The following is a 22,601-nucleotide window of genomic DNA, read 5'->3' on the forward strand; positions in this document are numbered from 1 at the left end:
CTCCATGCAACCAGCTGTTTCTGTAGCAATGCTTCCCTTAGGTGGTACTGATGAGCTATGGGCTGCTTTTACAGAATAGTTTTCTTCCCAGATAATTCAAGGTTTAGAAGAGCTGCACCTAGTTAAGCCGTTTAAATGACAGTCTTCTTTCCTTTACCCTGAAAAACATTCTTTTCTTTTTAGGCCTAAATTCTACTTGCACACTGATCATGAAATTACATAGATTCCAAATATCTACTTAATTTTTATTTCTTAACATGTGTCATAAAATATTTTAGATTACCTCCACGGAAAGCAGGAAGGCTTTGGCCTTAATATTATGCCTTATCATGGCTAAAAATTGTCCAATGATGCTTCCCACTGTGTGTACTTGAGTTATAGTTATTATTGTCTATTGAATGAGTCCTATATGCTTATCACACTAATGATCATTTCATATGCATTAATTTAATCTTCAACATCATGCTATGTCAGGCAATTCTAATATCCATTTTGAAAATAAGAAAACTGACCCTATGACAGGCTAAATAATTTGACTGTGACTTGTATACTATTTTTTACCACATTGCTTTTTCTACCAAGTTTACTTGAGAAAAGGCATGAAGACATCTGATCGAGGTACTTCTGTGCGTTCCAGCTTTGAGATGCCGCCTCTGTTCCAAGCATGTAACAAATGCTAGATAAAATATGAGGATAGGAAATGCAAAAATCACAGCTGGGCTCAAAAACAGTTTGTTATCTCTGTGGCCCAAGAATGGAGATGAAATGCAAGTGATGAGTTGTGGGCTACACTGAGGCCTCTGGCCTGCTGGACTCTGGAGGTGGACAGAGGGGGCTGGGACAGCGTTTGCAGAGCAATAGGACATGAATGTTATTGTACACTAGGTGGAAATCCAGAGCTAGCCTCACCATTTGAAACCAGGTAGTAGAGGACTCCACTTCTGAATGAAATATGAAAGTATGAAAAATCTGCTGATCACTGTTGCTTGAGACTAGCTTTTGTGATGCTTGGTGTTTAAGATGGGAAGAGGAAGTTGTTTTAGGCATGGCCCTGAACTACTGAACCAAACTCAACCAAATCACTCACTAGTTTGGGGACATGACTGGTGATAATCCAGATGTCAAAACAATGTCATAGATCAGATATGCAACTGCTTACAAATGTGTGATCCTGGGCACAAAACCATTTTTAAGAGGATGATGAGAGAGAGAGAGGATGGAGCTATATCAAAAAAACTAAATAAAAATAATTTAAAAACCATCCCACTTCAAATGAACTTACAAAACATAATTCCAAAGCACATGAGGAAACCTAGCAGTAAGAAAGACAGCCAACAAAATGGACCATTAAAATGAATTTTCCCCAGAAGATTTAATAGATCGAAACAGGCTTGCAAAGTCTATTTTGGATGCCCAAAGGAATGCCATTGTATTAGTCTGTTCTCATGTTGCTAATAAAGACATACTTGAGACTGGGTAATTTATAAAGGAAAAAGGTTTAATGGACTCATAGTTCCACGTGGCTGGGGAGGCCTCACAATCATGGCTGAAGGCAAATGAGGAGCAAGGTCACATCTTACATGGAGGCAGGCAAGAGAGCTTGTGCAGGGGAACTCTCATATACAAAACCATCAGATCTTGTGAGACTTGCTCACTACCAGGAGAACAGTATGGGGGAAACAACCCCCATGATTCAATTATCTCCATCTGGCCCCACCCTTGACACGTGAGGATTATAACAATTCAGTGAGACTTGGATGGGGACACAGCCAAACCATATCAGCCATCCATAAAGAAACAAAAATGTCAAGTTATTATTTATTTACAAATATTTATTAAGATCATACTATGTTCCACATACTATTACAGGTGCTAGAGATGCAGAAATGAATAAAAATAAATAAAATCCTTAGCTACTAGAGGATTTGCATTCTAGTGGGGAGTTTACATTTTAGTGGCAGAAATGAAATAAGAATAGGTGAACAGGAGGCTTCCACTGTATTTGTAATATTTTATTTATTTAAAAGGTGAAGCAAAAGAACAAAATGCTCAGACTTGTTAAAGCATGGTGCATAAGTGGGTTTTCACAGTTTAATCCTACATAAGTACCTGTACAATTGACGTGAAAGGACACACAGACCTTTCAGTAGAACATGAATTGTTGGACATAGCAATAATATTTAAAACGTCCAGTCTTCTGGCAATGAGGCAAGTTCCATGGCCATTTACCTCTGTGGCTCCCAACTTGCTTAGGGTAAAACCTTATCAGGGCCTGTAAGGTCCTGGGGTCTACCTCTCTGGCCTAACTTGCTCTTTCACTCTGCCCCAGCTCCTGCCCCATTGCATGTTCCTCACACAATTCAAGCTCATTTCCTTTTATGATGACAGCACTCCTCTCAGATTATATCTCTTTCAGATACTGGGGAAAATCTTGAAAATTTTAAAATGATGTCTCAAATGAGACCTTTGATTTTCATCATGGAAATAATCCCTCAGTCTTTTATTTTGCTCTTGATCTAGTGCTTTTATAGACACTAATTCACTCAGCTAGTTAGAACTGTATTTCATGGCACTTGATGGATGTTCCACTTTGCAGTGGCTCATGTCACCATGACCCAGTCTGGTGGGTTGCTGCCTGGGGTTGCTGTAGCCCCCACACTCCCATCAGTGTTATGTGCTTAGGCTGAGGGAACTGCAGATGGTACCTGGAAATCTCTTAGGAATGCAAAGAGAGTTATAATGAGTAACAGCCAATCTTGGATGCTGAGTTGTTTACAAAACTTTTTGAGGAGGATTCAATATGTATTTTAGACAAGAAGGAACTGCTTCTCAATAAAGATGAGCATAATTGTCATTTTGGAAATTAGTCTTTAGAGCTAAAGCATTCATAATTTAAAGTGTAAAGCTTGAATAATCCATGTTACTTTATTTTAAAAAGACAAAACACTATTGCTAGTAATGGGAATATCACTGTGTGTGGGTGTGAACACATATGTTCAGTGGGACTCAAAAATCCCACACAGGGTATAGCGTTGTCGCTCACTGATTTTGCCCAATTATACTGTGAATTTGATAATAATTTACCAACACTTTGAAGTCCTACAGATGCTCTGAAACAACAATATAATCAGCTTTTATTTGAATATCTAATATGACAACTCACTCTAATATCATGGGACTTATTTTGTTCCACCGACATTAAAATGTCACATTCTAGAAATGTGAAGTTTGTCACCTCATCAAAAATAGATACTAGATGGTGAATTTGAATGTATTTAATGCCATTGAACTGTATGCTTGAGAATGCTCAAAACGGCATAATATGCAGCTGTAAAAAACAATGAGATTATGTGCCTTGTAGCAACATGGATGGAGCTGGAGGCATTATCCTAAGTGAAATAACTCAGAAACAGAAAATTTAATACCATATGTTCCCACTTACACAGAGATAGAAGCAATAGATACTGAGGGTTGAAAAGCAATACACACTTTTCACAACCCCCTTCCCACCTCTTCCCACTTGTGGAGAGGTAGGAAGGGGATGAGGGTTGAAAACTTACCTATTGGGTACAATGGTCACTATTTGAGTGATGGGTACAGTAGAAGCCCAAATCCCACCATTATGTAATATATCCATGTAAAAAACATGTATGTATACCCTCTGAATCTAAAATAAATTAAAAGAATGGTTAAAATGCTAAATTTTGTATTATACTGTATACATTTTACCATCACTAAAAAAAATAGATACTAGATCAAATAAAATGTAACTATTTTATCTCCATAGATGATTCCCTTAAAATTTCTGTTTAGTATCGAGCCACAAGCAAAGCAAACACAGCGATAATTATTTGGAAATTGCTGTAATTATTGCAGGCCACTAGGATTCCACTTTGCATATTAAAATGGCTATTTTAATACACAAAATGGCATGAAATACTATACAGCCATAAAATAGAATGAGATCATATCCTTTGCAGTGTGTCCTTTGTTTTTTGCACAAAGTGTATTAGGCCACTAGGATTCCACTTTGTGTGTTGAAATAGTCATTACCATATTGTATCCTGGTAATAAAAAAGAGCCATTGAACCCTTAGAGAGAGTTTCACTTCTAATCGGAGCATAACTTGGTGCTGGAAAGAATCGCCTCAGTGTTGTTTAAAGTTAGGTTTTTATGAGCCTTCGTTCCATAATCTTTCTCACAATAAATGAAAATTGGATAACGTTCTTCAATAGTCACAAAAATGTATTTCTTCAACTTTTTAATAATATTGATCATTATAAATATTAATAAGCACTTATTCTGTGCTGTGCACTGTTCTACATATTTTATCTGCATTAACTCATTTAATCTTGGCAGTCTTATGAAGTAGAAGCTAATGCTTTCCTCAAATTATAAATGAGAAAACTAAGCATAGACAAGTGATTTCTCCAAGACCACACAGTTTCTAATAGACCCGGTGGTAATTTTATCCATCTTTTTAAAATGGAAACCTTTTGACATTTGTGCAACCCCAACCTTCTAATGTTCAATGCTTTTGTTTATTCACTTGTTTTTAAAAAAAAGTCAGTGATTCTTGAACATCTTCATGCATATTATGTCTTTTCCTAACAACAAATGATAATTTATTTCTTGGATTCTTACAGGGCATTCTACTTGGACAAGTCAAATTCACCACCAAACTCCACATCCAAAGCTGCCTATGTAGATAAGGTAAAAACAGATGATTATATTTATTGGTGCTTTTTAATTTAAATATCTCCCTTTTTAATTTTCTGCTGTTGTTCTGCAGAAAAATTAATCTAAGTAGTTTTAATCTAAGTAGGGAGCTAGTCTGTCATGAGACAGTCTCTTCTTTATTCATTTATTTATTTTTATCATACTTTAAGTTCTGGGGTACATGCACAGAACATGCAGTTTTGTTACATAGGTATACATGTGCCATGGTGGTTTGCTGCACCCATCAACCCATCACCTACATTAGGTCAGTTTGATTTTGAGGATGGTGTTTACTTATTTATTCAAATTTACTTGGCACTGAATCCATGCAAAGGATTGCAGTTAGTGCTATTGGCTGTATAATATCATAAAGTGTTCATGTCAGAGACATATGAGTAATTATAAATATTAGTAGTCTCTAATTCCATTACCACCAAAATGAAATAAAATTTTAGACTATTCTTTAACAGCTATACCAACCTATCTAAAAGAATTTTACTAAACATGTTGAACTTGACGTTCATCACTTTTTTTCTGCAGCTAATGAGGCCTCTCAACGCTTTGGATGAACTTTACCGACTGGTAGCCTCGTTTATCAGATCCAAGCGCACAGCTGCCTGTGCAAACACAGCTTGCAGTGCTTCTGGGGTTGGACTGCTGTCAGTTTCCTCGGAGCTGTGCAACAGGCTGGGCGCCTGCCACATCATCATGTGCAGCAGCGGTGTGCATCGGTATGTGACCCTCCCGCCTTGCTTGCCTCTTTGTTAGATCACACTTTATTTGATGGTTTTTGTTTACATTTTGGCTTCACAAAATTAAAACTGGAAACATTCAAAGACTCAGGTGTATTTGGAATAAGATTTTGGACGTTTTCTGGTTTTAATTCTTGTATTTTCAGTGACTATTTAGTCATACACATGAAGGCAATCCCACGTTTATATCATTGTGGCCCAAAATCTTATCATAGTTGCATTTATATTAACATACTTACATTTTAGGAAAAATGTGCATTCATTTTATTCACTAGAGAAATTAGTAGGAGCTGACTCAACTAGCTCAACAAAACTGGTTTTCTCACTGCCTTTGATAGACATTCCACTATTCAGTGGTTCCAATCCTTACAACCCAAGTGTTGTGAGCTAGATGCTGCTTGGAGTTGCAACTGCTTTCTAACTACTGGTGAAATTATGGTCCAGGAGCTCACACAATGTGCTATTCCAGAAAATGTAAGGGGAAATATTTGATGGGTTCTTTTCAGGTGGTTTATCTTAGGCAACTGTGGTCTGTCTGAGGCAGCCAAGATGACAGGCATAAAAATTCCTGTAGATACATCAGACTTAGACTCAAAAGTGCGAGTGGGAATCCCTGAGTCAAGTCCCTCTTCATAATCATATGCTTTCGCCTCTCCATTGCCACAAGGAAATAGAATCAAGTAAATGGAAATAATAGAAGAGAATTTTAGTCCTTGTTTTAACCTAAGTAGGGAGCTAGTCTGTCATGAGACAGCCTCTTCTTCTATTTATTTATTTTTATCATACTTTAAGTTCTGGGGTACATGCACAGAACATGCAGTTTTGTTACATAGGTATACATGTGCCATGGTGGTTTGCTGCACCCATCAACCCGTCACCTACATTAGGTCGGTTTGATTTTGAGGATGGTGTTTACTTATTTATTCAAATTTACTTGGCACTGAATCCATGCAAAGGATTGCAGTCAGTGCTGTTGGCTGTGTAATATCATAAAGTGTTCATGTCAGAGACATAAAGGATGAAGAGCAAGCAAAAAAAATTTCAAAAATATTAACAAAAATAACATAATGATAAAAGTACACACACATACAACCCACACAACTCAAGAACAAGAAGACATAAATGGTCTAGGAAAGTTACAGCTAAAGAGTAGGATTCAGAGGGAGAATAGATTTTGAGATGGTTAGATATGGGAACTCTTCATGGAGGAAGTTATGTTTGAATTGGGTTTTCATGGATCAGGTTATAGAGGCAGAAAAGAAAGAAAGGTCATTGAAGGCAGCAGCCTCTCCATCTGGGAAACTCCATTTTGCCTTGAGATGGCCACATTCTAGTTTTCAGGCCCTATGCAGCATGAATGTGCTTATGAAAAATGGCAAGAGTATTTCTCTTAAAAGAACATTAATTTTTTGTGGTTGGCAAAATATGCAGAATTTTTCACTTTAATTTTCATTGCTGTGTACTTTGCTCTCTATTGCAAGCTTATTAAAAGCTTAATTGAAAATATCATCTGTATCTGAGTGGATCAAAGCTTTGAAAGTTTTTTTGCTAGCAAAGAAATAATATCTTCCTTCTGATAAGCTTATGTTCATATGGTCTGTTCCTATTCATTCATTCATTATTCATTCATTCAATAAATATGCATTGAGCACCAATCATGTGCCAGCACTGTTCTAGTTGCTGGGGATACAGCATTGAGAAAATAAAGTCCCTACTTTCATATAGTACGTACTGCATTGGGGGGAAACGGTTGATAAAGTAAACAAATAAATATGTAATGTGGCAAGTGGAATAAATCCAAAAAAGAACAGAATTCAAAGGAATAAAGGAAGATAGGGTAGAGAAAAGATAGGCAGATTGAATTAGCATTAATATCTAGATATTTTAATGCCAACCTGAATCAGATGGGGAGATTTGTGATGGGGGATTTCATAAGATACTGGTATAAAATGAAGGAGTGGCCGGGCGCAGTGGCTCATGCCTATAATCCTGGCACTTCCGGAAGCTCAGGTGGGTGGATCACTTGAGGAGGTCAGGAGTTCGAGAGCAAACTCATCAACATGGTGAAACCTCATCTCTACTAAAAAAAAAAAAAAATACAAAAATTAGCCGGGCATGGTGGCAAATGCCTGTAGTCCCAGCTACTCGGGAGGCTGAGGCAGGAGAATCGCTTGAATCTGGGAGGCGGAGGTCGCAGTGAGCGGAGATCATGTCACTGCACTCCAGCCTGGGCAACAGAGCGAGACTGTGTCTCAAAAAAAAAAAAAATATGAAGGAGTGGGTCATGCAGATATCTCAGAGAAAGAGCTTTGAGACCATAGGGACCAGCAGCTTGAGTGTCCTCAAGTGGGAAAGTGCCCAGTGTGTTCAAGCAACAACAAGGAGTCCATTGTGGCCTCAACAAAGCATCATTGCCTTGAGTATTTGTGCTCTTCTCTTACCCTGGTACAAGATCATAGTTATCAGAGGTCTGGATACACTGGAACCAAGGGGGTCCTTCAGACTTTGAAACTATAAGCACCTACTCTTAACTCCACATTAATTTACTGAAAGGTAATTCAGTTAAATCTGCCATTTAACCCTAGAGACCATGACTAAGTTGTCCAAATTATTCTCTCAGATGTTTCACGAGCAATTTTAGAATTAGACTGGTATTGTATAAGAGAAATAGTTTGATGTTCCACAGCTATTACTTACTATATGCATTGATTAGTGTGTTAGAATTACAAGGGACATTGACATTTTAAAATACTTTAACTTTCTTGATTTCTACAATTCAAAATAAATATAGCTTTAGTTAATTCACTTCACGAGACATTTACCAAGCTGTAGACACCAATGCCCCATAACGGGCTGAATTTAAGGTCAAAACTATTTGAAAATTGTATAGTTTTATTTTTCCATTATGCAGAATAAAATGGGGAATGTAAAATACTCTTTAATTTTTCAGTGAAGGCTATGCTTAGATTTTTCATGATGATAAGATATGTGTTAATTTATATTAGGATCCAAAACCCCACAGAAGGCTGTTCCTAAAATAGTCCTTTAGTAATTCTAATTTAGACAGCTAGAGAGGAACCCAAGCCAGATCCACACCTGCAAGCAACATTAAACACGGAGGTTTACCCTCAGGTTCTGACAGAGGGGAGAAATTCACAGCATGAATCAGAATAAATATTACACAAGCCATTTTTATCATTTACTTTTAAAATCAAGATGAAAAAAGTCAACAATGTGGTATCTACATTAGATAGTCAATTTCCTGCCTTTTCTGATTTCACTGGACAGAAATAGGATCTAAAATGTTTTTTAAAACTATTGAATTATATTGTATGTGTTTGATATTAAAGGGAAGAATGTGGCTTTTTGGAACGAAAAGGCAGATTTAATTAACATTAATGTCTAGATGTTTTAATGCCAATCTGAATCAGATGGCAGAGCTACATACAACAGTGAATATGAGATTAGTAGGAATAGAATTCAGGATGAATTATTAAAATCTTCCCAAAGCATTTAGCCTGGTTTTGTTTTTAGTAAATTATCTTTTCTGGAGTACTCTTTTGTGTGAATGACAAGTCTCCTGAGGGACTTCCTTGTCTGTACTCTGTTCAACTTCGCTTAAGTTTAATGTCATCATTGCTATTAAATAGTGGCAGAGGAGTAGGCTGGACTCTTTTGAGTTGATCAGATTTTTGCCTTTTAATTAATATAATATAATTTAATTTTTGCTTTTTAATCGTATAAATACGATTAAAAGGTAGTTAAATATATAGAAAAACATTCTATTCTGACATCCTTTTTCATTTTCATTTTGCATTATCTCTAGTAACTTCTATCAACAACACACATCTGAACATAGCTTTATATATTATATATATGAATTATATATTTTTTTATATATTTAATAAAATGGAGACACTATATATATGTACATATATATATATGTACATATATATAGTGTCTTCGTTTACTTGTGCTGCTTTAAGAAAATATGTGATACTGAGTGATAGGGTTTGGATCTATGTCCCCACCCAAATCTCATGTTGAAATGTAAACCGCAATGTTGAAGGTGGGGCCTGGTGGGAGGTGATTGGATCGTGGGGGTGGATCCTCCATGAATGATTTAGCACCATCCCCAGTTTTCATGAGATCTGCTTCTTTAAAGATGTATGGCACCTCCCCCCCCCAACTCTCTCTTCCTCCTGCTCCAGCCGTGTAAGAGGCGCCTGCTTCCCCTTCACCTTCCACCATGATTGTAAGTTTCCTGAGGCCTCCCCAGAGGCAGAAACCACGTTTCCCATGCAGCCTACAGAACCATGTGCCAATTAAAGCTCTTTTCTTTATAAATTACCTAGTCTCAGGTATTTCTTTATAGCAGTGCAAGAACGGACTAACACACTGAGTAATTTATAAAGAGCAGAAATGTATTTTCTCATAGTTCTGGAGATAGGGAAGTTCAAGATCAAAGTACTGGCAGATTCGGTGTCTGGTGAGAGTCCTGGTTTCTGCTTCCAAGATAGTACCTTGAACCCTATATTCTCACATTACAGAAGAGCAAAAGGGAGGGAAGAGCTCCCCAAACCTATTTTATAAGGGTGTTAATCCATTCACAAGACCCCCACTCTCATGACTAAATCACCTCTGATACGGTTTGGCTCTGAGTCCCCACCCAAATCTCACCTCAAATTATAATCCCCATAAACCCCACATGTCAAGGGCAGGACCAGGTGGAGGTAATTGGATCATGGGGGCAGTTTCCCCCATGCTGTTCTCATGATAGTGAGTGAGTTCTCATGAGATCTGATGCTTTTATAAGTATCTGGCATTTCCCCTGCTTGCACTGACTTTGTTCTGCTTCCCTATGCAAAAGGTGCCTGCTTCTCTTTTGCCTCCTGCCATGATTGTAAGTTTTCTAAGCCCTCCCCAGCAATGTGGAACTGTGAGTCAATTAAACCTCTGTCTTTTATAAATCACCCAGTCTCAGGTATTTCCTCATAGCAGTGTGAGAAGGGACTAATACAACCTCCTAAAGGCCCCATCTCTTAATATTACCACATTGGTGGTCAAGTTTCAATGTATGTATTTGGAAGGACACATTTGGACCAGAGCATATAGTTTAATAATCTGCCTTATACTTGTGGCAGATTATATATATACAATATATATATAATCTATGCTATATATACATAATATATATGCTATATATATATGCTATATTATATATATGCTATATATATGCTATATTATATATATGCTATATATATGCTACATATATACATATAAAATGAGCACATAGACTTTCTTATTCTCTTTTTTTTGCTGCATAATATGTCAACCAGTTTTATACCACAGTTAACTGAACTATTAGTTTGGTGATTTATCTTCTTTCTCAATTGTATATAAGAAACTACAGAGCGGCATCTTTCTATATGTTACTGTTCAAATTTCAGTTTTATTTTCCATTAATCTAAAAGAAAAAAGCCAAACGCTTAGATAAAATCACTGTGTCAAAGAGTTTAAACCTTCTTGGTTAATATATTGTTCAAGTTCCCAAAAGAGTTGTCCTTATGTACAGTACACCAGTGGAATAGATAGTTGTGAGGCACTTTCACCCTTGCCATGTCTGCAGAAGGTATTAGAATCCATTTATATATTGTACTTCTTTACTAGGTTTACAATTATATTTCCTTTGTTCTTTAATTTGTCCTTTTTTGATGAACAAATAAAAGTATTTAATATCTTTTGAATTTGTTTCTCTACTAAGACTTGTGCTATTTATATTTATATACCTGCTTTGTAGGCAGAGTTACTTTTTGCCAAATTGAATCTTTTTAAGATATTGAGTCAGCACTGTGGCTTTTCAAATTTGCTTTTGTACCCATGCCAGTTATTGTGGCAGGCAATCAAAAAGCTTGCTACCGGGATTTCTAAATTTCTTTTATTTCTTATTGCAGCATCCTTCCATTCAATGTGGTGTTTTAATTTGTTTTGGTTCTTTATTCCCACCTTGCTTAATAGCTGACTGTTTTTCTTTAACCAATATAAATCAGTATACAGCAAACGTTATAAAGCCCGAAGCATGAGTCTGACTGAGTCCAAAAACAAAAATGCCATTTTCCTCCCTCCACATTAATTTCGGCCTCCTTAGCCAGTAGGAACAAGTGAGTAGAAATTTGCAGAGTCTACCTGAAAGAATAAAGGATATGTGTAAGAAATTTCTAGTGAAGGTGAGAAATCTGGAATCACAGTTTTCCCCTGTAATGACTTGTTCCAGAGAGTTTTTGTCTTCATATTCTCTTCACTCTATATTTTTAAATAATAGGTTATCAGTGGTGTCAGAGTCTTGGTCTGGCCATGTGGGAAGGTGGGTGACTTGAGTGCAGGCCTCATGCTCTGAATAGTGTGTGATGTCTTCAAATCAAAACACTGGAGATCTGTATATATGAGTTACCTTTTATGTTCGTGCTTTGTTACGAGGGTGAATCTATTCCAGGAAACAGGGTCCTGGATTTTTAACTAGCATACCCTGTGGTCCATCATCTGGTGGGGGTTGTTAGTGGCACCATCAAGAAGGCCTTGCTGCATTGGCATGGGGGGGTTCACCAGCACCCAGTTCCAGGTGGCATCATAAATATCCTGTGTGCAGAGCCCCACACAGGTGTGAGAGAAAGTCTGGCAAGACCAGCCCATTACCATTGGTAAAACACATAATAGTGATGACCATCAAGCTAGCTACTGTCCATGTAATCCAGTGTCAGCTACTTGAATATGTAGTAGAAGTTAGCTTTAACATATGTAAAGTTTTTTCCCCAAAATGCACTTATTAGTTGATGATTTGGAAATTCACATTTAACAATGCTGGGTATATTTTCACATTTAACAATGCTGCAGACTGGGGTTGAATTACCAAGGCTCTACCGAGCCTTCTCCCACTAACAGAAACTAATGTAAACTGTCTTCTAACTAGAACACAGGACCTAAAATATGATTATAAGCCTTTGTTAAAAAAGTGAAATTTATAAGGGAAAATATAAAAACAACTAACAAGAAATTTGTATTACCAATATGGTTAATGGAACAGTTTTTATTTCAAATGAAGATGAACAGTATAATGACTCTCACTTCATATAAGCAATGTAAAAAATCTTATTCAGGTAACTACCAATTAACAATTTAAAAACCCACTTTTGTTGGAACTTTTAAAGGACTCTTTCTTTGTAATACTTTACTCTGTCATTACCCTGACATCAAAGGACAAATTGACAAATAGGCCCAGATTAGGTAATGCAGAATCTTTTTAAAGTAGAGCATTCAAGGTAACCTGTCTTAGGTAATCAAAGAGTTCCCATAGGGCAGACGATGAAGCTGCATCTTTTCTCTACTGCACAATGAAGACGTATTAAGTAAAAGGAATAGGTTTACTCTGGGGATTTCTATATGTAGGTTAGATTCTATGTATGGGACAGAAAAAATAACTTCAATAAGCCAATAAAGCTTTCAAATGTATTTATTTACTTTTTGTGCAAAAAAGTTTTGAAAGACCCAGTAACAAGATTAGAGGAGACACCTGAATTTTATATCACTAGAGAGATGGCTAAATAGATCAGAAGAAATATTTTTTCTAGCTTATGACCCAAGGATATTATATAGTCCCCAAAAGAAGTTATAAAATATATGCTTTAATTTCCCTTTGGAATGGAAAAAAGAAAATACTACAATAACAGGGGCCTGGCAGAAAGACAAAATATATCCTACTCATGATAAATTGGTACCACTATCTTTTCATAAAGATAAATCTTAATTACTCTCAGATGTTCCCTTCATTATAAATAAGTACAGAATTTGAAATTTTACTGAATTGTAAAATAGGCAAATAAACATTAAAATTTATTCTAATTTAGTCAACTAGATAAATAATACAGGTAAATTGTTAAAATTATAGGAAGAAATCAAATATTGTAAATATGAAAAGGTTTCATTGTATTACTTTTTTCCATTATCTGTAATAAAAGTTCTTTATCCTTAAAAAGGTGGTCATATTTGCATGTGATATCATTGTCTCTTTTTTTTTTGCTTGATTAATATGTACCCTAATAAATTAGTATCTTGAATCATTTTATTTTAAAATGTACATAATTTTCTTAAAATTAGATGTATGGTGAGCAAGGATTAATAAATCAGTATATGAAAGGGTGACATCTTACTGCAGTGTTTTCTAGTTCTGACATCTAGGAATCAGGTGATATTGGCCAAACAGGCCTTGCTTTTGGTGCATATAAAAGGAGAGGATGTGACTGCCTTTCATTATTAGAATAGGAAAAACCTAGGTCCTAATATGTCAAACATATGAATACATAAATATTAGTTATATTTCATCTGTATCTGCCAAACCTAATTTTACTATTTGAGCATATTAATAAAATGTATTTACATTACTACATTTTATTTGCATAGATATAGGGATAAATACAGTATCTACTTTAAAAACGATTAAACAGAGCATAGTTCTTTGTATTTGTTTCAAATAAACTGAAGTTATTGTCTTTTCTAAGTCTACCAAATTATATTATAAATAAAAATTCCAGTCATTTTCTGGAATATATTACTGAGATCTCTGTGGTTAGGGGTTTTTTAACTACTCTAATAAGTGACGTAAGATAAATTTTCCATCTTCCAGAGGAGGGAAGAAATATGAGTATCTCACCGATGTAAATGATTCTCTTTTTTTTGCATGTTAAGAGAGCAGGAGAGCAGGTAGTATGGAGGGTGTTTGTATTAGGGTTCTCTAGAGGGACAGAACTAATAGGGTAGATGTATATATAAAGGGGAGTTTATTAAGGAGTATTGACTCACACGACTAGGTGAGGTCCCACAATAGGCCGTCTGCAAGCTGAGGAGCAAGGAAGCCAGTTCAAGTCCCAAAGCTGAAGAACTTGGAGTCCAATGTTTGAAGGTAGGAAGCATCCAGCATGAGAGAAAGATGTAGTCTGGGAGGCTAAGCCAGTCTAATCTCTCCACGTTCTTCTGCCTGCTTTTATTTATTCTGGCTGTGCTGGCAGCTGATTGGATGGGGCCCACCCATATTGAGGGTAGATCTGCCTTTCCCAGTCCACTGACTCAAATGTTAATCTCTTTTGGCAACACCCTCACAAACACACCCAGGAATAATACTTTGCATCCTTCAGTCCAATCAAGTTGACATTCAGTATTAACCATCATAGGGCTGAAGGAAGGAAGCAGCATTCCTGCCTTTGTGATGTTGATCGTAAACTGGCACCAGGTCTTCTAACATATTCAGGAAGAGTATAGAGGGGTGAGATTTAAATACCCAGGAAGGGAGTAAGGTAACACCTATTTTTTTTTTTTTTTTTTTTTTTTGAGATGGAGTCTCGCTCTGTCACCCAGGCTGAAGTGCAGTGGCACGATCTCAGCTCACTGCAACCTCCACCTCCTGGGTTCAAGCAGTTCTCTTCCTCAGCCTCCCGAGTAGCTGGGATTACAGGCGCCCACCACCCTGCCTATTTTTTGTATTTTTCGTAGAGACAGGGTTTCACCATCGTGGCCAGACGGGTCTTGAACTCCTGAACTCGTGATCCACCCACCTCGGCCTCCCAAAGTGCTGGGATTACAGGGGTGAGCCACTGCCCCCAGCCAGGTAGCACATATTTTTAAAGCATAACCAGCCCTCACCAGGCAATGAAAGTGGAGAAGTAATTACATGGCTGGAGGACACAGGAAATCCTGTGCTCTTGCTGGGTGGTCAAGTGAGAGCGAAGCAGCGCTGAGAGGAAAGGGTAGCGACTGGACAGGATTGGAGAGTGGAAGGCTCTGGCTGCTGGGTGAAGGATTTGTGACTCTCTCCTGGAGGACTTAGGAAGCCAATGAAGGGTTTTCAGCTAAAGAATAACATGATTAGATATTTTTTAAAATATCAACAAAAATAAAGATTACTATCATGGTCTGTAATGGGACAAGGACGGAGGCAGGGAGACAGCAGGATTTTACAGTATTACAGCAAGAGAAGATGAGACCTAGCACCGAAGCACTGGCACAGAGGTTAGAAGGGAAAGGCTAGTTGTGAAAGGTATTAAATGGCAGTCAACAGGACTTGGTGATTGGTGAGAAATAAAGAATAGGGGAGAGGTAGAATGTTCAGTCACAGTTCTGCCAAGGGACAGAACTGATAGGACAGAGAGAGACAGAGAGACGAAGAAGGGACTTACTAGGGGATTTGGTTCACTGCACTGTGGAGGCTGAGAAGTCCCAGGTAGGGTGTCTGCAAGCTGGAGAACCAGGGAAGCCAGTAGTGTGGCTCAGTGCAAGTCAGAAGGTCTGAGAACCAAGGAAGCCAATGCTGTGAAACTCCTGGTCCAACTACCGGTCACACTCCTTGGAGATAAAGCATAAAATTTACCCTTCCTCTTCCTTTTTGTTCCACGTGGGTCCCCAGCCAACAGCACAGTGCCCACTCACATTGAGGGTGAATCTTCCCCACTCAGTCCATGGACCCATATGCCAGTCTCCTTCAGAAACACCCTCACAGACACCCCTGGGACAGCTCAATCATTCTAATCAAATGCCACACTACATGGTTTTCCCTCTCAGCAGAACGGGCTCAGTGCCTACTGAAGCACTGAAAAGAATTAGTGCTTTACCAGCTGTCTGGGTATCTCTGAATCCAGCCAAATTGACACCCTGAGTCAACCATCACAGAGGAGTATCGATGATTCTGACTCACCAGCTTGGAAATAAATCAGGATGGAGGGCTGCTACAGGAAGAAAATATGCATTCATCTTTGAGGGGATTGTGGAGAGGGTGTTGAATTAATCTGTTACACTGTCCCATGTTGAATTTTAGATGTCCTTTGATGGGTTCACAGTTGACAAGGACAGCCATCAGGAGGCTATGGAAAAACAAATGTGGAGGTGATTAGTACAGAGAGAGAAAGGGGGATCATGGCAGAGAAGGCTTTACAGAGATATATTTGAGCTGGGTTTAAAACATTACTAAGAATTTTTAGGGAACACACTTTGGGTTTTAGGAGCAGGTATTCCAGGAGCAGGCATGGAAATGTGAGAAAAGAATAATCAGCTGCCAACTATAGAAGTTGAGAAAAGAAGAAAGATCCCCAGGCAGCACATATAGAGTATTAATATTCCCTGGTGCCTCACATCCCCGTCCTCTGTGCACCCTGATGAGGAGCCTCAGGGTAAAACAGAAGGATCCACTCAAAGGTGTCAAATGCACAAAGTTCTGTTCAGTGTCTCAGATAAACAGGCCAAAGAGAAAACAATGATGGTCCAGTGTCAAAGAACTAGAGATATGGATGAAAACCACATACTAGACATCTCTTTAAAGTATTTATGTCATCAGAGAACCTATGAGGAGTAAGGACAAAAGTCAAATTTGAGATCTAGAGAACGAATAAGAATGTTAAGGAACTTCGGGTAGCTGGGATAGGTACCCAACCTATTCAGTTAAATTCCCCCCGCCCCACCCACCAAAATAGAAATGAAATAAATTGGTGAGTTAAATCCAGGCTGAAGAATCTAAAATGTGGAGAAGCAGATTCAAACCTGGTGGCTGCAGTATTTAAGGTCCTAACACACTGCTGTTTCATAGTCATATACATTCCTGGCATGGCAAATACTTCTCCAAGTGCCTAAATGCTCATTACCCAACCCCAGAAGGTCCCTAATCACCTCTATGCTAACCTCCACAATGAAACTGTGTCAAAGAAAAACATACCTTACTGGGCTTGCATAGAAAGTAACGAGGGATGTGGAATGTTTTTGCTTGGCAGTTGATTTTTAAGCTTAGTTTAAAGATAAATGCTGAGAACTTTCAGAGAATGTACTGAAAGTGGTAACAGAAAGTCCCATTATCTTTAATGAGAATTTCATGGCTAATTCCCTGTGCAGCGCTGAAAATGCATCCCTTCAATTCGATTGCTTTTTTGCCCTAAGATAGATGGAGTGAGTGGAGTATTCAATCAAGTTCTCTGTCTGCGGCCAGGATCAGATCTTACCCAGCTGTTACCCATCTCTGCTGCATTCTGTTCAGTTGTTTTCCACAGGGCTACTTTCTGCCTGCTTTCCCTCTGCTTTCTTTTCTTTTTTCTTTCTTCTTTCTTTTTTTTTTTTTTTTTTTTTTTTGAGACACAGTCTAGCTCTGTTGCCCAGGCTAGAGTGCAATGGCGTGATCTCGGCTCACTGCAAGCTCCGTCTCCCGGGTTTACACCATTCTGCCTCAGCCTCCCGAGTAGCTGGGACTACAGGCGCCTGCCACCACACCCGGCTAATTTTTTGTATTTTTAGTAGAGACGGGGTTTCACCGTGTTAGCCAGGATGGTCTCGATCTCCTGACCTCGTGATCCGCCCGCCTCGGCCTCCCAAAGTGCTGGGATTACAGGCATGAGCCACCACGCCCGGCCCCCTCTGCTTTCTTTTAAGCTACTCGGAAACCCTTGTCTTCCAGCTCTCGGGCTATGACTCATAGAAACCCAGTATGGTCATAGGAAGATTTCACCAGGGCTGTCCTTTTAACAAGAGTCAAATGATCAATCATATTGAAAGTATCAATAAATATTGGGAGGTTATTTCTATAAATTATACTAAAAACTTGCCTGAGTAACTACTGGCTTTTGAATTGCAGTTGTTAGCCTGTCATTCAAAGTTTCCTAAAAAGAGAGTATCAATATTTAATAATTTAGATAAGAGAACTTGTTGCTGAAACAAATAGTCTGTTTGTCCTTTTTTTCTCCACATAAAAGTATTTATGTGTTTCATTTAAAAGCTGCTTCTGTCCTACAGGAAAATAATAACTTAAGTGTTTGGGTTTTTCACATTCTCACTGACTTGTAGCAATTTTCTCAAGACTTTCGCTTGTCACCAAAGCCTTGCTCAGGGTGAATAAGGTGGGAAAGTCAATAGGTCAGCTGCAGGCTTTTCCGTATTTATTTTGCAGTCTCTGCCTATGTAGAACCGTACCAGCAACGTGGGGATTGATCACTATTTAACAGACTGCATTAGTCCTCAGATGTACAATTCTTCCTCCATGGAAGGTAATGAAAGGGATCAGGGAAAATATAACTGCAAAACCTTAGAGAATTAGTTTCTTCAATCAGGTGCTTCATTCTAGCTGTCAATAGACTTTTCACAGTCGTGCTCTGTAAAAGTAATTAGAAGCCAGAATAAATGTGATCATTACAGGAATGAACACACTTTACACAGAACGGTGCATTTTATGCAGAAAAACGCAAATCTTTAGTCAAGAAGGAACACATTCTCCCTTCAATTTATTTTTACTACTTGATCACTTTACAATCAATATACTTACTTAGCATGCTTCAAACCTAGTTTCTTTTTAATCATGAACTCATTTTAGTATGATGAAGTCTACATTCACAGTGAAGTAATTTGGACCGCCTGAATTGATGTCTACCTAAACAATGCATTTAAAATATAAATGCTGAGACCAAGCTTGTGATTGTTGAATTATGGATGTTGGGAGCTGGAATTCTCTAAATATATTAATCTACGTGATTCGAATTTGGTAGAGTAGAAAGAGTCCTAGATTTTGAGTCCAAAAATGGGTTTTGAATCCTGTTGTTTACTCGCTGTGCAAGGGAGTGAGTGATTATATCACCTCGTCTCTCAGGGACTTATCGGTGAAATGGGAATAATGATTTCTTTCTCACAATGATGGCTTGAGGATTAAAAGAGCAGCGTATGTGAAAACAGCTAGTACAGTTCTAGCATTCCTGACTACTCAGAATGTTCAGTTGAAATCTGTGCTTTTGATAGCGAATCCATCTTCTCGTTGCAGAGCTAGAAATATGAAGCACATCTGTTTTAAATGAGATTGTAGCTACTAAAAATAGGATAACCCCTGTAAGAGCTATTAAAAATCACAGTAATGGGTCACCAGAGAGAATGATAGGGAGGACTATGAAAAATACAAAAGTTACCTCTTCTGATCTGTAAGAAATGGAGTACACAAAGTGCTGGGTCCTATTAGAGCTTTGAAAAAGGCATTCAAGAGCAGCAGAAGAGCTACCCTTGAATTCAAGACTAGGGTTTTATTTCCTAGTATCAAAACCCAAGAGCGTATGGCAGAAGACAAATGTTTAGGATTTAAAAAGAATTAGACGTTTATTCATCTATTTGCTCATCCATTTATTTGTTGAGCAAGAAAAAACTGTGGAGCACTGCTATGTGTCAAGCACTTTGCTACCCCAGCCTGGGAGACCCCAGGATGCCTGCCTCATTGCTCTTAGAGTCTGATGTCTTGACAGTGGAGCCGCATTGGGAAGCCAGACAGCCGTAGTATGTAGCGTCAGTTCTTTTTAATAATGAAAATGAAAACAAGAAAATATAGTCCAAGGATTGGGTTTTAAGTGACCCAAAGGAGAGCATACATACTTTTCAAACTACAATGGAGAGGAAGAATATATACTTGTCAGTTTGACAATTCTCTTGAGGTTTCAAAAATGTTCTTCTGGCTTAGGAAAATATCGATAAATAAATGGACAATTTTGATGATATAACAATTAATAATATAATTACTATAAGACTAATCAGTATGCTCTAATATATATATATTTCAAGTATTACCATAATTCAAACAGAGTTGTTAACCAGCAGATGTGGTAGGAGCAATTGTTAAAATCCAGAGAAAGGGAAATGCAAGGCAATGGTTGTGAAAGAAGAATCATATCCCATTTAGAAGCCATAAGAGAATCTGTGATTTCTTTTTGCTAATATTTGTTATCTCCATAATGCATTGATCACTTCCCAGAATATATTTAATTAGTGAACACTTCTTGAGCAAATACTTGGAAAGCACAGAGTATAAATAAATAAATCTAGTCTTTTAGGGGCATGGATATAATATCATTGGCACACATTAGGAATTCATGTAATTTTTAAAATAAGTATGTATTGAATGCTTACTGAGTCCTAGGAAGTATGCTAGGGTCTAGAAAAGCTACAGTCAATATAGACACCAGTACAGCCTGGTGGTGGTGGTGGTAATAGTAATGAAAATTTTGAACGTTTATTGAGAATAAATGACACGCTATACTTCATACTAAGTATTAGGCATGAATTATTTCATACAATCCTGAAAACAACACTGTGTGTTGTATATTATTATTAAATTCAATTTACAGAGGAGGAAACAGAGTTTGAGGAGCTTCAGTAACTTGCCCAAGGTCACACAGTTATTAGCAAAGCCAGGGTCCAACTCAGGAAATTCTCTCTCTTGCCCATGTTCTTAATCCCTACACCTTCCAGATGAGTATGAAACAGTGGGGTAAGAGATACTGTGTGTGACTTCAACCAGGGCATATGAGATCATACAAATATGGGAACTATAATAGTTGATGATTGCAGAAAACTACAAAATCATTTAAGTATGGAGTAGAAGTGAGGAAAACAGGGACCATATTGTGAAGATCTTGTATTTCATGTGAAGAAATGGGAAGCCATTCCTGTGTTTGTATTTATATCTGCATTTTAAAAAGGTCACCTTCACTATGGAGGAAGACCAATGGAAAGAGGCCAGACAGGAAAGGTTAGAGTGAGGTTGCACCAATCTAGGCAGGAGATGATATTAGTGCAGCTAGAGAGGAGATATTTGAGAGATAGTATAAAATATGAAATTAATAGGCATGAAATGTGCTGTAGTGAATACATTAACACACTGAACTGTACACATGCATTAATCTCTTGTAATGGATGAGTTTAATTTGATAACTTGGAGGTTTATAACATTTCTTACTCTAGACATGAAATAAGTCATAAATCACGAAACAAAGATTTTTGGAAAGCAATAATTTTAATCCTGACCACACCCACTCTGGCAAGGTTTTAAAAAATGGGAAGGTTGAGGCCACTGAAAAAAAAAATCATGGTACAGAAATTTGTAAGAAATTAAATAACTTCTATGTCTCATTTCTTTTAACTTCTCTCTTATCAGGTTCAGTGAATTTCTAACACATCTGTTTCATGCAGATGCTTATTTTTTAATAGCTGAATAAAATGGGACCACGAGAAAAGCAGAGGAAGAGGTAAAAAGCATTTGGAAACTGAGCAGAATCATTTACATTCTTCCGACATGTAGAAATGTATCTTTAGTTCAAAGATTGCTGAAACTAATCTGCCTCAGGCTTTCCAGGATGGGTGTTCAGATGTTGCTTTGGAGTGCATAAAATCACATGATCAGCAGTGTCTTGCATCTGTCAAAAGAAACTTCTGAGCTGGGCATAGTGGCTCACACCTGTAATCCCAGCACTTTGCGAGGCTAAGGTAGGAGGATCACTTGAGCCCAGGAGTTTGAGATCAGCCTGGACAACATAGCGAGACCCTATCTCCACAAAAAATTTAAAAAATTAATGGCAGGCACCTGTAGTCAGGAGCCCAAGGCAGGAGGATCACTTAAGCGCAAGAATTTGCTGCAGTGAGCCATGATCCTGCCACTGCACTCCAGCCTTAGCGACAGAGCAAGACCTGGACTCATTTAAAAAAAAAAAAAAAAAAAAGAAAGAAAAAAGAAAAAAAGGAAGCTTCTGCTTATAAAAAGAGTGGTGTACAAATAGGAGGAGTAGCTGCTCTGTGCTATGTTCCAGCTTATTGCATTTACTTAGTTCTCTTGGGGTTGAAATAGATAGTCATTATTCCTTTCTAAAATTTGAATGCTGCCCAGGTAACTTCAGCTTAGTAAAGTATCATAGACAACCACATCTGATTAGATTACTAATAACTTGTTTGCTATAGTCATTTGAAGAAAGATAATGACCTGGCTTTTAATTAAAGAAGGAAAAAGGAGAACCCTCATAAAGTAGGGGAAATGATTTTATGTTCTAAGAACTAAATCTGTAAGATTCTAAATATAAATCTATAGCTATATAAAGACATAATTCATGTGAAGAATATTATCACACTAGTAGGTTTCTCAGACTGTCCTTATATACATAATCTCTGAAGCATGCATTTTCCCCAGGGGAATTGAATCCTTCTTGTTTCCATGACTAAAAGTAGCCTCATAGTTATAAAGAACAGTGAAAATGAGGTAATGTACGTGGAAGTCCAAACTAAAAAACAAAATCAGATTGTGATCTGATTTCC

The 22,601-nt window shown here is 37.7% G+C and overlaps 1 protein-coding gene and 1 long non-coding RNA gene across 3 annotated transcripts in view, besides 1 other annotated feature; one reads left to right on the top strand and one right to left on the bottom strand.

Moving 5' to 3' along the window:
• The window catches only part of PREX2 (phosphatidylinositol-3,4,5-trisphosphate dependent Rac exchange factor 2), a 284,987-nt gene that overhangs the window by 235,030 nt on the left and 27,356 nt on the right, over nucleotides 1-22,601 (top strand). For both annotated transcript variants that reach the window (NM_024870.4, XM_047422267.1), the window contains exons 36-37: nucleotides 4,647-4,713; nucleotides 5,260-5,450. In NM_024870.4, the coding sequence (NP_079146.2) occupies nucleotides 4,647-4,713; nucleotides 5,260-5,450 (258 nt within the window). The remainder of the gene's footprint in view (nucleotides 1-4,646; nucleotides 4,714-5,259; nucleotides 5,451-22,601) is intronic.
• LOC124901957 (uncharacterized) lies at nucleotides 14,973-16,541 on the bottom strand. Its single transcript, XR_007060955.1, has 3 exons — nucleotides 16,210-16,541; nucleotides 15,695-15,860; nucleotides 14,973-15,367 (listed from the first exon to the last, which is right to left on the bottom strand). It is a non-coding gene; the product is annotated as an uncharacterized LOC124901957 (long non-coding RNA).
• Nucleotides 15,018-15,626: an enhancer, noted in NCBI's record as "H3K27ac hESC enhancer chr8:69114328-69114936 (GRCh37/hg19 assembly coordinates)". NCBI's record gives its function as "activates a minimal SCP1, AML or CMV promoter by ChIP-STARR-seq in naive H9 embryonic stem cells {active_cell/tissue: H9 hESC(naive)}" and the evidence as "EXISTENCE:reporter gene assay evidence [ECO:0000049][PMID:30033119]".

Source organism: Homo sapiens, chromosome 8 (genome assembly GCF_000001405.40).
Source record: "Homo sapiens chromosome 8, GRCh38.p14 Primary Assembly".
Taxonomy (NCBI): Eukaryota; Metazoa; Chordata; class Mammalia; order Primates; family Hominidae; genus Homo; species Homo sapiens.